At 43.6% G+C, this 17,546-nt stretch overlaps 1 protein-coding gene and 1 long non-coding RNA gene across 5 annotated transcripts in view; one reads left to right on the top strand and one right to left on the bottom strand.

Moving 5' to 3' along the window:
* The window catches only part of EIF2AK3 (eukaryotic translation initiation factor 2 alpha kinase 3), a 71,405-nt gene extending 67,460 nt beyond the window's left edge, over nt 1-3,945 (top strand). For all 4 annotated transcript variants that reach the window (XM_047446428.1, NM_004836.7, NM_001313915.2 and 1 more), the window contains 2 exons: nt 1,707-1,769; nt 2,750-3,945. In XM_047446428.1, coding sequence (XP_047302384.1) covers nt 1,707-1,769; nt 2,750-2,950 — 264 coding nt within the window. In that variant the 3' untranslated portion in view covers nt 2,951-3,945. The remainder of the gene's footprint in view (nt 1-1,706; nt 1,770-2,749) is intronic.
* The window catches only part of EIF2AK3-AS1 (EIF2AK3 antisense RNA 1), a 36,891-nt gene that overhangs the window by 14,925 nt on the left and 4,420 nt on the right, over nt 1-17,546 (bottom strand). The window lies entirely within an intron of this gene.

Here is a 17,546-nt window from a genome sequence, read left to right as displayed (position 1 = left end):
AAAATAAAACAGGTCTAACCTAAGTAAAGGATCAAGAATCAGATGGCATCAAAATTTATATAGTTATAAATGCCTCAGAGAATACTGTCAAGAAAGTGAAAAGACAAGGTGGACGTGGTAGCACATGCCTGTAGTCCCAGCTACGTGGGAAGCTTGAGGCAAAAGGAATTCCTTGAGACCAGGAGTTCACGGCTACAGTAAGCTATGATTATGCCTGCAAATAGCCTGGGCACCATGAGACCCTATCTCTAAATAAATTAATTAAATGAAATAGAAAGTGAAAAGGCAGCTCACAGAATGGGAGAAAATATTTGTAAATCCTATATCCGAAAAGTGTCTAGAATTCAGAATACATAAAGAACTATTACAACTCAACAAAAAGACAACTCATTTTAAAAAGGGGCAAAGCAATAGAACTTTCTCCAAAGAGGATAAACAAATGGCCAATAAGCATGTGAAAAGATGCTCAACATCGTTGGGCATTAGGGAAATGCAAATCAAAACCACAATGAGATACCACTTCAGCACCATCTAGGGTATCTGTAATAAAAAAATTAAAAAAAAAGGAAATGTCAAGTGTTGGCTAGGATGTGGAGAAATTGGAACCCTCATACGTTGCTGGTGGAATGTAAAATGGTGCAGCTGCTTTGGAAAACAGTCTGGCAGTTCCTTAAACAGTTAAACATAGAATTACCATAGAATCCAGTAATTCTACTCCTAGGTATGTACTCAAGGGAAATGAAAACATAGACAAAAGCTTGTATACAACTGTTCATATGAGCATTATTTCTAATATCCAAAAGTAGAAACCACCAAAATGCTCATCAGCTGATGAATGGAAAAACAAAGTGTGGTATTTTATACAATGAAAAGTATTCAACCATTACAAGGAAGGAAATACTAACATGTGCCGCAACGTAGATGAATCTTGAAAACATGCTGAGTGAAAAAAGCCAGACACAAAAGTCCACTTTTATATCATTCAGTTTTTATGAAATATTCAGAAGAGGCAACTCCATAGAAACAAAGATTTCCAATATTTTCTTTGTGCTTTAATATGGCCCTTTCTCTCTCTCTCTCTCCCCTTTCTCTTTCTCCCTCCCTCCACACATACATATATACACATATATGTAAATGTACATACACACACACACACACACACACACACACACACAGTCATCTTGGTATCCACAGGGGATTGGTTCCAGGACTCCCTGTGGATACCAAATCTGCAGATGCTCAAGTCCCTTATATAAAATGGTGTAATATTTGTATAGAACCTACATATATTCTGTGTATTTTAAATCTTCTGTAAATTACAGTACCTAACATAATGTAAATTCTATGTAAATAAGTATTATACTGTATTGATGAGGGAATAATGACAAGAAAAAAATCTGTATCTGTCCAGTACAGATGCAACCATCTATTTTTAAATTTTTTAAATATTTTCATTCTGTGGTTGGTTGAATCCTTGGATGTGGAATCTGTGGATGTGGAAGACCAGCTGTATATTTTGAGGATATTTGATGGAGTGTACATCTGTGCTCAGGAAACATATGTAGTTATTAAATCAGGAAAAGCTATTGATAAATTTTCCATTTGATAGATGTACAACCTCTTAGTCATTTTGTTAGAGTATCAAAAAATATTTTCATGTTGTATGTCAAAATAAACTTAATAAGTGATACTTTTTTTCTTTTTAGACCTTAACTGATGTAAGAAATCTCAAATTTCCACCATTATTTACTCAGAAATATCCTTGTGAGGTATGTGTAATTCTCATCTTTTATCTTCTTTAGAATCATCTTTAGAACGTAAGCGGTCCTTAGCAGTCGACTCAGTTTCCCCTATTTTACAGATGAGGAAGCCAAAGGTCTAGAGAGGAAAGAGACCTGCTCCCAAGAGCCCAGAATTTGTTAAAACCAAACACTGGAGCTGGGGCCTGGCTCCTTCAGCCTAATGTCCAGTGTTCCACACTGTAGCACCTGTGAAATTTATATATTGATAAATCTTGAATTTCCTTAAGTAATTAAGTTGAAGTGAGTTAGTATGTGTTCATTTTCAAATTGGAAAAAGTCAAAATTTATCTTTCAGTATTATAATGAAGGGTTGCATTAAAAAATGGACTTTATAACAATATATTAATACCTACATATACTTAAGTCTGTTTTACTAAAAATTGTCATCATGTATTTTGCAAACTTGATGAATCTATTCCCAGGGTGGCTCATAAGAGTACATGTTACGTTCAAAGAGATTTTTAAAAACCAAGAAAAGGTGTTGGTTGCTGATCTCTGCCATAATTTTTTCTAATTAAAATTTCTATTGAGATAATTGTAGATTTACATGCAATTATAAGATGATTTTTAAAAATCATATTTATGTTTCAGGGATGTGATTAAATAATCCTTTATAATGTGTTAGAAAATCAAATTACCCAAAAATTGTCCATGTTTTTTTGGAATGAGGGTTGGCAAACTAGTGCCCACAGGTCAAATCCAGCCTGCCACCTATTTTTATAATAAAGTTCTATTGGAACACAGCCATGCCCATTAATTTACAAATTGTCTCTGGATGCTTTTGTGCATTGACGGCAGAGCTGAGTAGTTGTATCAGAGACTTGAAAACTCGAATATGGCTCAAAAGCTTAAAATATGTACAGAAATATTTTGCCAGCACTGATTTTAAAAACTGTACAGTGATCAAACCTGGCCGTTTTATCACAAAACAATTTTTATATTTTCAGTACGTGATGGTTCAAGACATGCTCTCTCCATCCCCCATGGAACGACCTGAAGCTATAAACATCATTGAAAATGCTGTATTTGAGGACTTGGACTTTCCAGGAAAAACAGTGCTCAGACAGAGGTCTCGCTCCTTGAGTTCATCGGGAACAAAACATTCAAGACAGTCCAACAACTCCCATAGCCCTTTGCCAAGCAATTAGCCTTAAGTTGTGCTAGCAACCCTAATAGGTGATGCAGATAATAGCCTACTTCTTAGAATATGCCTGTCCAAAATTGCAGACTTGAAAAGTTTGTTCTTCGCTCAATTTTTTTGTGGACTACTTTTTTTATATCAAATTTAAGCTGGATTTGGGGGCATAACCTAATTTGAGCCAACTCCTGAGTTTTGCTATACTTAAGGAAAGGGCTATCTTTGTTCTTTGTTAGTCTCTTGAAACTGGCTGCTGGCCAAGCTTTATAGCCCTCACCATTTGCCTAAGGAGGTAGCAGCAATCCCTAATATATATATATAGTGAGAACTAAAATGGATATATTTTTATAATGCAGAAGAAGGAAAGTCCCCCTGTGTGGTAACTGTATTGTTCTAGAAATATGCTTTCTAGAGATATGATGATTTTGAAACTGATTTCTAGAAAAAGCTGACTCCATTTTTGTCCCTGGCGGGTAAATTAGGAATCTGCACTATTTTGGAGGACAAGTAGCACAAACTGTATAACGGTTTATGTCCGTAGTTTTATAGTCCTATTTGTAGCATTCAATAGCTTTATTCCTTAGATGGTTCTAGGGTGGGTTTACAGCTTTTTGTACTTTTACCTCCAATAAAGGGAAAATGAAGCTTTTTATGTAAATTGGTTGAAAGGTCTAGTTTTGGGAGGAAAAAAGCCGTAGTAAGAAATGGATCATATATATTACAACTAACTTCTTCAACTATGGACTTTTTAAGCCTAATGAAATCTTAAGTGTCTTATATGTAATCCTGTAGGTTGGTACTTCCCCCAAACTGATTATAGGTAACAGTTTAATCATCTCACTTGCTAACATGTTTTTATTTTTCACTGTAAATATGTTTATGTTTTATTTATAAAAATTCTGAAATCAATCCATTTGGGTTGGTGGTGTACAGAACACACTTAAGTGTGTTAACTTGTGACTTCTTTCAAGTCTAAATGATTTAATAAAACTTTTTTTAAATTAAGTATGTTGACTCTTATTTTGAGGAGTTAGTCCCAAAATGGTAGATTTTCTAATTTATAAAATGGGATCATAGATCTAGGAAGAGTCATAAACCTATCCTCAAAAAAACTTCTTCCTAACCCATTTCAGACAGGTATCTTTTTCATCATTTCCCAAAGACTTGGCAGGCCCTTTCAAAATTCACAAGATCCATAATTGACAGACATTTGCCCAGTACCTACCCTGTGCCAAGGACTGAGAATATAGAGGACTTTCCCCTAAAGGGAGAGCTCTCAGAGAAAAGGGCTGTGGTGATGCTAGTTGTATTGATACCGAGGTGTATCTGACATGTGCCACATCGAGGCATGTGGCAGGCTGGGCTGATGGGGCATGAACCAGCTAGACACAATCTAGAAAGGTCAAAATGCATAGCATCTCCATATTACAAACAAATAATGTCTGCCACGCAAGGTTATGAGCAACTTGTACGCTGGAAAAACACTTCCCAGATCTTTGTGGCTGACTGTATATCCAGACTCGCTCGCAGCAGTGCTGCTCAAACGACTTCCTTCCCCAGCTTCTGCTTGGTTCCTGTCCAGCTCACCCCCGTCATCTTCATCTCTTGGTCAGCCTGCTTTAGTTGCTATTCCTTTTCTCCCTTCCTCTTTACCCCAGCCAGGGGTGAAGGTTTGTTGACTTCTGGCAGCACACCCCATTCAGTCCCCCAAAGATCCTTTGACCCCCAGGACTTCCCTAGGAGCTAGCCATGGCAGACACTACTATTACCATTCTACTTACCGTCAAATCTAGGTCCAGAAAGGTGCTGTGATTTGTTCAAGGCCACAAAGACAGCAAGAGCAGAACCGGGATCAAAACCTAGGTATTTAGATTCCTAGTGTTTTGTCTACCCGCGTGCACCAAGCTGTCTAGGGATTGGTAAATTCTTACATGATGTAATCAGGTTTTCTTTCATTTTAACCTGGGTTTGCCTTTGCTGACCACCAGCAGGAAAGCAGGCATAGGGTTGGGGAAGTTAAGAGCCTGGGCCAGCAACACTTAAGTCCGTAACACTAGTCAGAATGGAGACCCCTGTGTTCTCACCCACAGCCCTTTCTACTGAGTCCAAACCCCACTGCCCACTTTAAGTTCTGTTGTTTTTCCAGCATCTTTCCATCCCCCGCACTTGCCTCTGCTTTTAGCACATTGTATTTGATAATACTTATTCTCAGGCTGCAGAGGAGCCAGCAACTCTGACGAAGATCAGCTCCCCCTTGTTCGTTTCTAAAATCTCAGAAAGTAAGGGGACACCTTCTTGTAGTCCAGCAACATCCAGCGTAAAGCCTGGTACTTGATTACATATTTGTAGAATTGAATTTGAGGAACCTACATATAACCCCTGCTACAATAAAAATCTGGCAAAAGTGAAGGAGGAAAGATGGCTTAAAAATCCTTATGCTAGCTGGGCGCAGTGGCTCACATCTGTAATCCCAGCACTTTGGGAAGTCAAGGCAGGTGAATTGCTTGAGCTCAGGAGTTAGATACCAGCTTGGGCAACATCGCAAGACCCCAACTCTACAAAAGATACAAAAGTTAGCCAGCTGTTCTGGTGCATGCCTGGAGTCCCAGCTACTCCAGAGGCTGAGGTGACAGAATCGCTTGAGCCCAACAGGCAGAGGTTGTAGTGAGCTATGGTTGTACCAACGCACTCCAGCCTGGGCGACAGAGTGAGACCCTATCTCAAAAAAGAATCCTGATGCTAAAAACAGATGAAAGCGTCAAATCTCAGAAGTTTTTTGTTTGTTTGCTTGCTTCTTTGTTTTTGAGACAGAGTCTCCCTCTGTTGCCCAGGCTGGAGTGCAGTGGCACCATCTCGTTTCACTGCAACCTCCACCTCCTGGGTTCAAGCGATTCTCCTACCAGGAAAGAAGAGCACAGGGCTCTCCTGATTCACCCTTCAGGGAGGCAGCAGGACTAGCCGGAGGGCTGGTCCGGGCATAGGAAGCCCATGAGAAGTTTTGAAAACTAGCTACCTAGTCTGCTGTTTGCCTCCCAGGAGCAGACAGAAAAGCAGACTTTTATGATGTTAGGATGGAGTGGGGGGTTTTTCTCACTGACATCTTTGTCTGGATGCATTTACAACAAAAGCCATTTTATTTCTGTGCCATTTTTCTCTGAAAGAGTAGAGATAGAGCAAGCTCCCAGTCTAACCACTAGCCATAGTGGAGAAGTCAAGGGCTAAGCGGGGACTCTGGATGTTCTTTGGCTCACTGCTGGGAACATCTACGATCCCCCATAACTAGATTGTCCAGGGACTGCCTTGCGAGACTTCCCCATGGAGAGCCTTTTCCTGCAACTACAGTAGCTGTCACCAGGTGACAGTCATGCCTTGCTTAAAGGTCTGAGAAATGCATTGTTAGGTGATTTTGTCCTGTGAATATCACGAAGTGCACTTACACAAACCTAGATGACACAGCATGATGTCTACCGAATATTGTAGGCCATGGTAACACAATGGTAAGTATTTGTGTGTCTAAACACAGAAAAGGGACAGTAAAACTACAGTATTATAAACTTTTTTTTTTTTGAGATGGAGTCTCACTCTGTCACCCAGGCTGGAGTGTAGCGGCACGACCTCAGCTCACTGTATCCTCCACCTCCCAGGTTCAAACGATTCTTGTGCCTCAGCCTCTGGAGTAGCTGGGATTACAGGTGCCTGCCACCAGGCCCAGCTGATTTTTGTATTTTTAGTAGAGACAGGGTTTCATCATGTTGGTCAGGCTGGTCTCGAACTCCTGACCTCAGGTGATCCACCCGCCTCGGCCTCCCAAAGTGCTCACCGTGCCCAGCCCCAGTATTATAATCTTATGGGACCACTGTTGCATATGTGTTCCCTTGTTGACTAAAACATTGTTACGTGGCACATGACTGTAGTAGACAGTGGAGGGCTGAGATAAAGAACATTTTTCAACATGTAAAGTTATTCCTCCCTCCCCTCAAATGTTCAACACATCACGAGAACAAGCATGTCAACATAATCTAAACATGCCAGATATTGCAAAATTCGACCGTATAAAGTCCCACATGCCATGAACTGCTTTTAAATTTCTCACGTGAACAATGACTTAAAACAACAAATGGGCCAGCTGCAGTGGCTCACTTCTATAATCCCAGCACTTTGGGAGGCTGAGGTGGGAGGATCTCTTAAGCCCAGGAGTTTGAGACCAGCCTGGGCAACATGACGAAATCCCATCTCTACAAAAAAAGTAGAAAAATGAGCCGGGCATGGTGGCACATGCTTAGAGTCCCAGCTGCCTGGGAGGCTGAAGTGGGAGGATCACCTGAGCCTGGGAGGTTGAGGCTACAGTGAGCCATGATTACACCACTGCACTCCAGCCTGGACTACAGAGTGAGACTCTGTCTCAAAATAAACAAACAAAAAACAAATACAGGAACAGTATGTGCCTGGCTACTTCCAACAACTCTACTTCTAACAACTCTCAGTATCCCTAATCCCTAATACCTTACTCGGTGCCTCCCTCTTTGGAGCAGCTGAGTAGCTTTCCTTTCTGATTCTTCTTCATGTTCTGGGGGACTAAGAAAAGGTTGGGGAAGGGAGAGGGAACAGAGAGAACAGCCCATGCAAAGGCATGGAGGGAGGGCAGGAGTAAAAAAGAGAGCTCTCAAAGGTGGGGTCGGGAGAAGTAGACCAACTTAAGAATTATTTTTGAGTCAGAAAGACCAGGATACTGGAATTCACTAAATACAGGTAAAGGAGAAGATGGCTCCTGAGTTTCTGGTGTGGACACTTTTATAGAATCCAGAGGAGAGTGCACTTTGGGGACAGAAGAAATGACAGATATCCCTTTTTGAAGATGATGGATGAGTATTCCAGGACTTTGTTGGTAAACAGTTAAGGTATTATTAGAAAATCGGAAGCTGTAGAAAATTACTGAACTGAGGAAGGACATGATGAGAGATTTTAAGATCACTATAGGCTGGACACAGAGGCTCACTCCTATAATCCCAACACATTGGGAGGTCGAGGGAGAAGGATTGCTTAAGCCCAGGAGTTCAAGACTAGACTGGGCACCACAGCGAGATCCCTATCTCTAATTTTTTTTTTTAAATCACAAGATCACTATGGTGGCTGAGAAAGAGGGTTGACGAGAGGGAGAAAGAGTTGGAGATGAAACCAGACAGGGGCCGTTAGCCTTTATCGAGCAAGAGGTCAGAGGGCCTGAGCCAGGGCAGTGGAAGCTGAAAGCCATCCCTTCTTTGTCCAGCAGCTGACCACGTGCTAGCTCCCAACAACCAGAGGGGGGTCTTCTATCAATGCTCTGTGGTGTTGAGTTTTAAAGGACTTCAGGGGGTGCTATAGTGAGTGGCTCTTTGAGAAGAACCTGCTGCTTTCTCAAATGATGTTAGCTTTTAGAGTACTCAGAGAACATTGTCATAAATGATGGCAGCCACTTTGGGACCAGCTCCTCTCTTGCTAGCAGCAAGAATGTGAGTAGGAGGAGAGGAAACAGTGCCGAATTTGCTGGCATAGAGCTCTACTGCCTCCCAGGAAGAGCCTGGGAGAATTTTCACCACCCAGAAAGGTCACATACTTGCCCCAAGGGAGTGAGAGAGTTTGATATTGATACTGAGAAGTAATGAAGGAGAAAGGGTGCTCTTTCTCCAAAAGGATCTTTTCATGACATACTCAAGAAAACAGTTGTCCAGCCTGGCCAACATGGTGAAACCTCATCTCTACTAAAAGAAAAAATACAAAAATTAGCCAGGCATGCTAGTGCACTCTTATAGTCCCAGCTACTGGGGAGGCTGAGGCCGGAGAACCACTTGAACCCTGGAGGTGGTAGCAGGAATTGTCGGTACAAAGACCTAGCCCAGGAGGAAGAGGAGCTTGGGCAAGCCGAGATCGTGCCACTGCACTCCAGCCTGGGCCACAGAGCGAGACTCCGTCTCAAAACAAAACAAACAAACAAAAAAAACCCAGCTGAATAAGTGAAGATATATTCATACTATAGATAACGCAATGAGTCAGTAGCATAAGTGGAATTACTAAATGGTTTATTAAGCAGATAAATGACAGATTCAAGTTGCAGAGAAGTGTGAATAGTACAACTGCAACCAAGTAAAAGAGTTTCTACGTCTGTTTAAATGGCATTTTTCATGGGCATAGAGGAAGTTTCGGAAGGATTCTCACCAAATGCTACACTAGCTACCTTACAAGGGTAGACAGAGTTGGAGAGGTTGGAGAAGATTATTAGCTTCAATATGCATCTCAGCATTGTTTGAGTTCTTTCCAATGCAGATAATACTTTAATCCAATGTGATTAATAAATTAGATTTTAAAATTAAGAAAAAGGAAACCAATAAACAACATTTACAATATCTTTTTTTTTTTTTTTTTTTTTTTTTTTGAGACAGTGTTTCACTCTTGTTACCCAGGCTGGGCTGGAGTGCAATGGCGTGATCTCGGCTCACTACAACCTCTGCCTCCCGGGTTCAAGGATTCTCCTGCCTCAGCCTCCCAAGTAGCTGGGATTACAAGCATGTGCCACCATGCCTGGCTAATTTTTTGTACTTTTAGTAGAGATGGGATTTCACCATGTGGGCCAGGCTGGTCTCAAACTCCTGGCCTCAACTGATCCACCCACCTCAGCCTCCCAAAGTTCCGGGATTACAGGTGTGAGCCACCGCCCCTGGCCAGCGTTTATAATATCTTAATTGATCTCATATTTGTATTCTGCTTTATAGTTTATTTTACATAGTCTCATTTAATTCTAATAGGATCTCTGCAAAGCAGATATTTTCATCACTGTTTTATATGAAAAAAAAAAAAACCAATGCAATAATTAAAATAACTACAACAGCCTAACAGGAAGCTTGTAATAATACAGTTATCACTGCATTGCCCTTGTTAGCATAACAATCCCCACTTTTCTGAATAATCCCTAATTCAGAGAGCATTTTAGAGGAGTAACAGGTGACAGGACAGCGCTGGGCTTTGGAATTAGGGCTGGCTGCATTACTTCTTCCTTGTTTACAATTTTCCTTCAGCTCTCCAATCTGTTTCTTCATTGCAAACAGCACATTTTGAAGATTAAATAATAAATACAAAATTTAGTGTAGAATCTGGTAAATAGAATTCAATAAACGGAAACAAAATGAAATTACAACTTCAGTTCTCTCAATTCTAAAATGGGCACAGTCCTGTGGTAGGGTTATTCTGAGGACTAAGTGACAACTATGAGTTAAAGGGTCATACAAATATGTGTGACTTATTTTTCTTACGATTATATGATGGGAGAGAAAGGCACAGAAAAAAACCCTTTAGTAAAACACGCAGCATATAAAAACTTTATAATGTTTATGCATAAATGTGGACATTGAATATGCCTATGACAAGGACTACAGGCTGGCATTTGATTGGGTGAGGACAACGTATTTTGCAAATATAAAAGGATGGTTATTATTCAAGTAGTCAAGAAACGCCTTTGTTGTATAGGGATTTCGGGTTGCCCAGGGGGTGGAGGAGGGCTAGGAATGCCTCCTTTCTCCCAGGCCTTTGACCCTAGCTGCCGGTCTACAGGAATCAGCGGGGAGCCGGGGCGCAGCATGGCCGGAGGGTTTGGAGATGAAAGATAGGAGGATGCCGTCTGGATTCTCGGGGCTGGGGCAGGGAATCTGGCTCGGGCGCAGCCAGGAGCCGCGGCAGGAATTGTCGTTTCAAAGACCTGGCCCAGGAGGAAGAAGAGCTCAGGGTGGCCAAGTGGGGACGACAGATGCCGAGGCAAAGCGGGGGCTCCGCGGGCCCGCGGCGCTCTTGCGTTCCCCCGTAAGGGCCTTGGGATGGAGGGTGGGGGACTGAGTGTCACCGAGTCAGTCCAGTGCGGTGACTGATCCTCTTGTGACAGATGCAGGAGGGTGGGCTGGGCATGAGAACTACCGGCGATGGAGGTGTGGCGTGCGGGAGATGCTGGCCAAAGAGGAGGAGGGACGGGAGGAGTCCCTCGCTCTCCTAGGTTAATTACCACTCACTCCGCCCTCAGGACTAATGGATTTGTCCGGGACGCAGACCTGCTGGGCAGCCAGAGGGTGGCTACTGGATAAGTTTCAAAATCCAACGTTACTGGAAGGCCTGCTGCATACCATGTCCTATACTAGGCAGTTCATATTCGTGGTATCTCATAGAATACCTTCAATAACCTTGGGAGATATTATGGCCCCCATTTTACAGAGGAGGAAACTGAGGCTTACTGAATCAAAGGATTTCCATGCAATGGGTATAATCAGGCAAATCATAGGTGAATTGTAAGTAGTTTAAAAAAAATGAAAAGAACTCTACTTAGCTACTCATCAGAAATAAAAGCTGAGCACGGTGGCTCACGCCTGTAATCCCAGCACTTTAGGAGGCCGAGGAGGGCGGATCACGAGGTCAGGAGATCCAGACCATCCTGACCAACATGGTGAAACCCCCTCTCTACTAAAAATACAAAAATTAGCTGGGTGTGGTGGTGCACGCCTGTAGTCCCAGCTACTCGGGAGGCTGAGGCAGGAGAATCGCTTGAACCCGGGAGGCAGAGGTTGCAGTGAGCCGAGATCGTGCACCACTGCACTCCAGCCTGGGCGACAGAGCAAGACTCCGTCTGAAAAAAAAAAAAAAAGGAAAGAAAGAAATACAAACGAAACCAACAGTGGATCCCATTTTTCTGCTATCACGTGGAAAACATTTAAAAGATTTATGCGTGTAAGCAAAAGTGTGATGAAAGAATTATCTCATAGCCTGTTGTTAGAAATGTATCTTTATGATTTTTTCTGTCAGTATCTGTCTAAATTTGAAAGATAATTTCTCTTGAAAATTCCACTTTGGGAATCTATTCTTTAAAAATAATCACACGGGTAAATGTCAATCTTAGTGGGAAAGGCAAGTAAAAGAGTTAAGGGTTTTTTAAATGTGATTGACCCACTAGTATATGGTTGCTGGAAAATACTAGCCTGGAGGTCCAATCAGCTCTATCCAATTCCAATAACCATGACCCTCAGGCAGCTTCGCCATAATCACTGCACTCTGGCATCACCATGACCCACAGGGTCCTTTTCCAAGTGTAAGGGCTGTTTACCTGCAGTAGATTCTCCAACAGTGCTTGCTATAGTGCACACTTCTTGCAAGGCCTCTTTCAAGTTGTTTTTCTTCCTGTTATTTATTTATTTATTTATTTGAGATGCTCAGGCTGGAGTGTGGTGTCACAATCTCAGCTCACTGCAACCTCTGCCTCCTGCATTCAAGCAATTCTCCTGCCTCAGCCTCCTGAGTAGCTGAGATTACAGGCATGTGCCACAACGCCCAGCTAATTTTGGGGGTTTTTGTTTGTTTGTTGTTTTGAGATGGAGTTTCACTCTTGTCACCCAGGCTGGACTCCAATGGTGCGATCTCAGCTCACTGCAACCTCCACCTCCTGGGTTCAAGTGATTCTCCTGACTCAGCCTCCCAAGTAGCTGGGACTACAGGCGTGCACCACCACACCTGGCTAATTTTTTGTATTTTTAATAGAGACAGAGTTTTGCCACATTGGCCAGACTGGTCTCCAACTCCTGGCCTCAAGCGATCCTCCTGCCTCAGCCTCCCAAAGTGCTAGGATTACAGGCGTGAGCCACAGTGCCCGGCCTCTTTCTTTTCTTCGGAGAGGAAGTCATATTATGTTGCCCAGGCTGGAGTGCAGTGACTATTGCAACCTCCAACTCCTGGCCTCAAGAGATCTTCCTATCTCAGCTTCCCCAGTAACTGGGACTATAGGTATGCACCACCCATCCACTACTTCCAAGATTTAAAGAATCAAAAGTTTTAAGAACCTACATTTTAAACACTCATAGGTGATTCTAAGGCACTGCTTCTCAATCTTGACAGCACAGTAGAATAATAATATGACCTTAAAAAAAAATAGCCAATACCCAGGCAGCACTCCAGCCCTGTAAATCACAACCTGAGGGTGTGGAGCCCAGGCCTCAGGATTTTTTTAAGCCTCCTGATAATTCCAAAGTACAGTCAAAGCTGAGAACCACATGCCTCCCCTTTCATAGTGGCTACAGGACCAGAAGCATCTGCAGAAATGCAGTATCTCAGGTTCTACTCCAGACCTGCTGGACCAGAATTCATGTTTTAATAGGATCCCAAAGTAATTCACACAAACATTAATATTTGCAATGGACTGTGGTGAAGTTTAGATTTATTTCAGCCCTTCTCCTGTACTGGCCCTACCCTGACTACTTCTGGGATAGGCTGGCACTAACAAGATAAAATGCACCTGGGCCATGGTTCTTTCTACTAACATCTCCCAAGCAATTCCTAAGAGGAAGGGACTATTCTAGAAGGGACCTATAACCATTCCCCCAGATCCCTAAGCTCTGGATGGACAAATGCAGGCCGAGTAGGAACTAGCTTCGAAGCAATACAAATGTTGACAATGAGAACTCTAGGTTTGTTGGAAACTTAAAGTAAATCAACAATGTGAGACATCTAGCAGAACTTCAAACACAAGCAGGTTGCATTCATTGGTCCCTACACCTCTCACGGGACCTCAGAACTGGTCTGCCCACCTCCAGTCTTGAACCAACTCATGCTGTCATGACAGAATATTTTACAACATAAATCTGGCCTTGCTATTTCTTCCCTGCTTAACATCCTCTGAAAGTCCCTGGACATCCTCAGGTTCAAAGTCAAACTCATGAGCTTGACATACAAGACCCTCCACCAACTTACCCAGTTGAGCCTTAATTCTTGAGAACCCACATGTGCCCATTCTGCTTTTCAGGAGTAACAAATGAACTCCTGGCCTTTTCTCAAGCTGCCATGCTCCCTAGCTTGTCTATCTGTTACCCCTTTACTTCCTCTACCCACCTGAACCCTCACCCCCTGGAAACCCTTCCTCTCAGGTCTCTCCTCCAGGATAACAATCTTGGTGAAGATCCTCCTGATCGGCCCTCATCCCAGTGAAGGGATGAACACGACATAATTAGGAAGAGGTCTATCACCTGACTTTGGGGGGTTTTTTTGTTTGTTTTTTGAGACATGTTCTCACTCTTTTGCCCAGGATGGAGTGCAGTGGCATGATAATGACTCACTGTAGCCTCAACCTCCTGGCCTCAAGTAATCCTCCCACCTCAGCCTCCCAAGCAGCTGGGACTACAGGCATGCATCATCACACCCAGCTAATTTGTTGTTGTTGTTGTTGTTGTTTTGTAGAGATGAGATCTCACTCTGTTCCCCACGCTGGAGTGCAGTGGCACAATCATGACTCACTGTAGCCGTGACGTCCTGGTCTCAAGCAATCCACCTCAGCCCTCGAGTAGCTGGGACTACAGGCATGCACCACCATACCTGGATAATTTTTGTATTTTTTGTAGAGACAGGGCTTCACCATGTTCTCCAGGCTGGTCTTGAACTCCTGGGCTCAAGCTATCCTCCCACCTTGGCCTTCCAAAATGCTGAGATTACAGTCATGAGCCACTGTGCCTGGCCCTGACTTTTCATTTGAAGGCCTGTCCAGCAGTCTGAGAGCAGTTTGACTCTATTCTCAAGGCGTAGCTTTTAAGAGCCAAGACCCACCTGAGCTTGGACACATCAGGATATAGTTTTAAGTGTTTAACAGAAACCCAAATTACCAGTGACATAAACCAAGGGTTCTCAACCTTGGCTGGGGAGATTTTTAAATATCCAACGCCGGCCAGGAGCCACTAGTGGCTCACGCCTGTAATCCCAACACTTTGGGAGGCCAAGGTGGGTGGATCACCTGAGGTCAGGAGTTCGAGACCAGTCTGGCCAACTTGGTGAAACCCCATCTCTACTAAAAATACAAAAAATTAGCCGGGCGTGGTGGCAGGTGCCTGTAATCCCAGCTGTTGGGAAGCTGAGGCAGGAAAATTGCTTGAACCCAGGAGGCGGAGGTTGCAGTGAGCCGAGATTGTGCCACTGCACTCTAGCCTGGGTGACAGAGGGAGATTCTGTCTCAAAAAATTATCCAATGCCAGGCTATACCTCAGTCCAATTAAATCAAAAATTTAGGAGAAGGGGCAAGAATCAGTATATATATATATACTTTTTAAGCTCCACAGGTGATTCTAATGTACAGGTAAGCTTGAGAAACATTGGCTTAAACAATTGGAGGTTTATTTTATTCCACGGGACACTCTAGACCTGACGAGACTGCTGTGTACCACTCAAAAATCCAACCTCCTTCTCACTGCCATTTCACCATCCCTAGGGTAGGGCCCTTATCCACAAGGTCCAACTAGGCTCATAACTTGTCCAAGCACCAGGATGCAGGAGGGGAAGGGCGTGGCCTGGGAAGAGGCATATACCATTTTTGCTTATGGCCCATTGGCTGGGATCTAGTCACATGGCCGTGTTTTATGCAAGGGAAGCTGGGAAATGTAGTCTTTATTCCAAGTGGCCATTGCTCAGCAAAAATCTTAGGTGTCTGTTAATACAGAAGAGAAGATGGCTATTGGGGAGAATCTAGCAGAGCTCAATCTAAGGAAGAATATCCTCGAGAACAGAAAGGTCATGTACTGGGATAGAATGTGGCAGTGCGTGCCCTGCCACCTGGAGAAGTCATCACGCCAGGAGAGAACCACAGCTCAAGGCAGTCAGATATTCACTCAGTCCACAACTCAATTCTTTCTCAGTCACCACAGCCAATATACTGGACTTCCTGTTCCATGAGCACACCCAGCACTCTTCATCAGATGGCCTTGTGCTTGCCACCAAAGGGCTTCTGCCCAGAGTTTCTCCTGTCATTTCGGTCTCAGAGAGGTCTCCATTTTTTTTTTTTTTCCTGTTTTTTTTTTTCTGAGACAGAGTCTTGCTCTGTGGCCCAAGCTGGAGTGTGGTGGCACGATCTCGGCTCACCGCAACCTCTGCCTCCTGGGTTCAAGCGATTCTCCTGCCTCAGCCTCCCTAGTAGCTGAGATTACAGGTGCCCACCACCACACCTGGCTAATTTTTGTATTTTTAGTAGAGATGTGGTTTCACCATCTTGGCCAGACTGGTCTCGAACTCGTGACCTCAAGTGATCTGTTCACCTCAGTCTCCCAAAGTGCTGGGATTACAGGCATGAGCTGCCGCACCTGGCTTGCATTTTTTTTTTTCATAGTGTTTACAATCTCTCTCTTTCTCTCTCTTTTCAGAGACGGGGTCTTGCTTTATTTCTCAGGCAAGAATGCAGTAGTACAATCTTGGCTCACTGAAGCCTCAACCTCCAGGACTCAAGGGATCCTCCTGCCTCAGCCTCCCAAGTAGCTGGGACTACAGGCACACGCCACTAAATCTGGCTTTTTTATTTTTTGTAGAGATGGAGGTCTCACTATGTTACCAAGGCTGGTCTTGGACTCCTGGGCTCAAGCAATCCTCCCGCCTTGGCCTCCCAAAGCACTGAGATTGCAGATGTGAGCCACTGCATGCAGCAGCCCTTATAATCTTGAGATAGACTACTAGGGTTCAAATCCCAGCTCCACCATTCACTAGCCGTCTGACCTTTCTGTGCCTCAATTTTCTCATCTATAAAATCGGGATGATAATAGTGCCTGTCTTTACCTAAAAGTTAAAGGTAAAATGGGAAATTTTATGTGTGTATTTTATTGAGCATTTTCAAATTTTATGTGAGCATTGTTAAGAGCACTTGGTTACCTCTTTCAGGTTTTCACCCCCAGGCTCCTTGCGGGTCACCAATAATAACCTTGTTGCTATTAATACATCCAGTGCTAAGTCCTCAGTCCTGGCCCAGCAACAGCATCTGACGCTGCTGATCCGCAGGTTGCTCCCTCCTCCCTGTCACCTTTCTTCACGTGATCTCCAGAACACCAGACCCCTGTGGTTTTTGTCCCACCTCAAAGCTCCCTCCATCTGCCTGACCTTTCAACTTTGACCTGCCCTAGACCTCAGTCCTCGGACCACTTCCACTCCTTGGCAAGGGACTGAGTCTCCTGATTTTCAATGCCATCCATATGCTGTTAATTCCTGAGGATCTATCTCCAGGCCCTGACCTCTCTCCTGGACTCTGCCCTGTGTAGCCAGCTGCCTCCTCAAATCCTAGAGGCATTTCAAACTTAATATTTCCAAAACCAAACTGATCTTCCCCAAACTCATTTGGACTATCGTTTTCTCCATTTCAGTGAAAAGCAGGTCACCTTTCCAGTTTGCACAAGCCAAAAAATGGAGTCATCATCAATGTCTCTCTCATGTACTCCACAGCCAATCTGTCAAGAAATCTCAGGCTCTGCCTTCACACACAATCAAAATCCAACCATTTCTCCATCTTCTCCACCTCCACAGTGATTGCTGTGGTCCACGCCACCCCTACCTCTCACCTGGATTATCCTGCTTCTCCATTTGTCCCCTCTGTCTTTTCTCAATCCAGTGGTCAAAATGATTCTTCTAAAACAGAAACCAGGCTGGGCATGGTGGCTCACACCTGTAATCTCGGCAATTTGGAAGGCCAAGGCAGGTGGATCACTTGAGGTCAGGAGTTCAAGACCAGCCTTGCCAATATGGTGAAACCCCATCTCTACTAAAATTACACAAATTAGCTGGGTGTGGTGGCATGCACCTGTAATCTCAGC

Source organism: Homo sapiens, chromosome 2 (genome assembly GCF_000001405.40).
Source record: "Homo sapiens chromosome 2, GRCh38.p14 Primary Assembly".
Taxonomy (NCBI): domain Eukaryota; kingdom Metazoa; phylum Chordata; class Mammalia; order Primates; family Hominidae; genus Homo; species Homo sapiens.
Note: the sequence above shows the minus strand (reverse complement) of the source record. Positions and strands in the feature narration are given on the sequence as shown.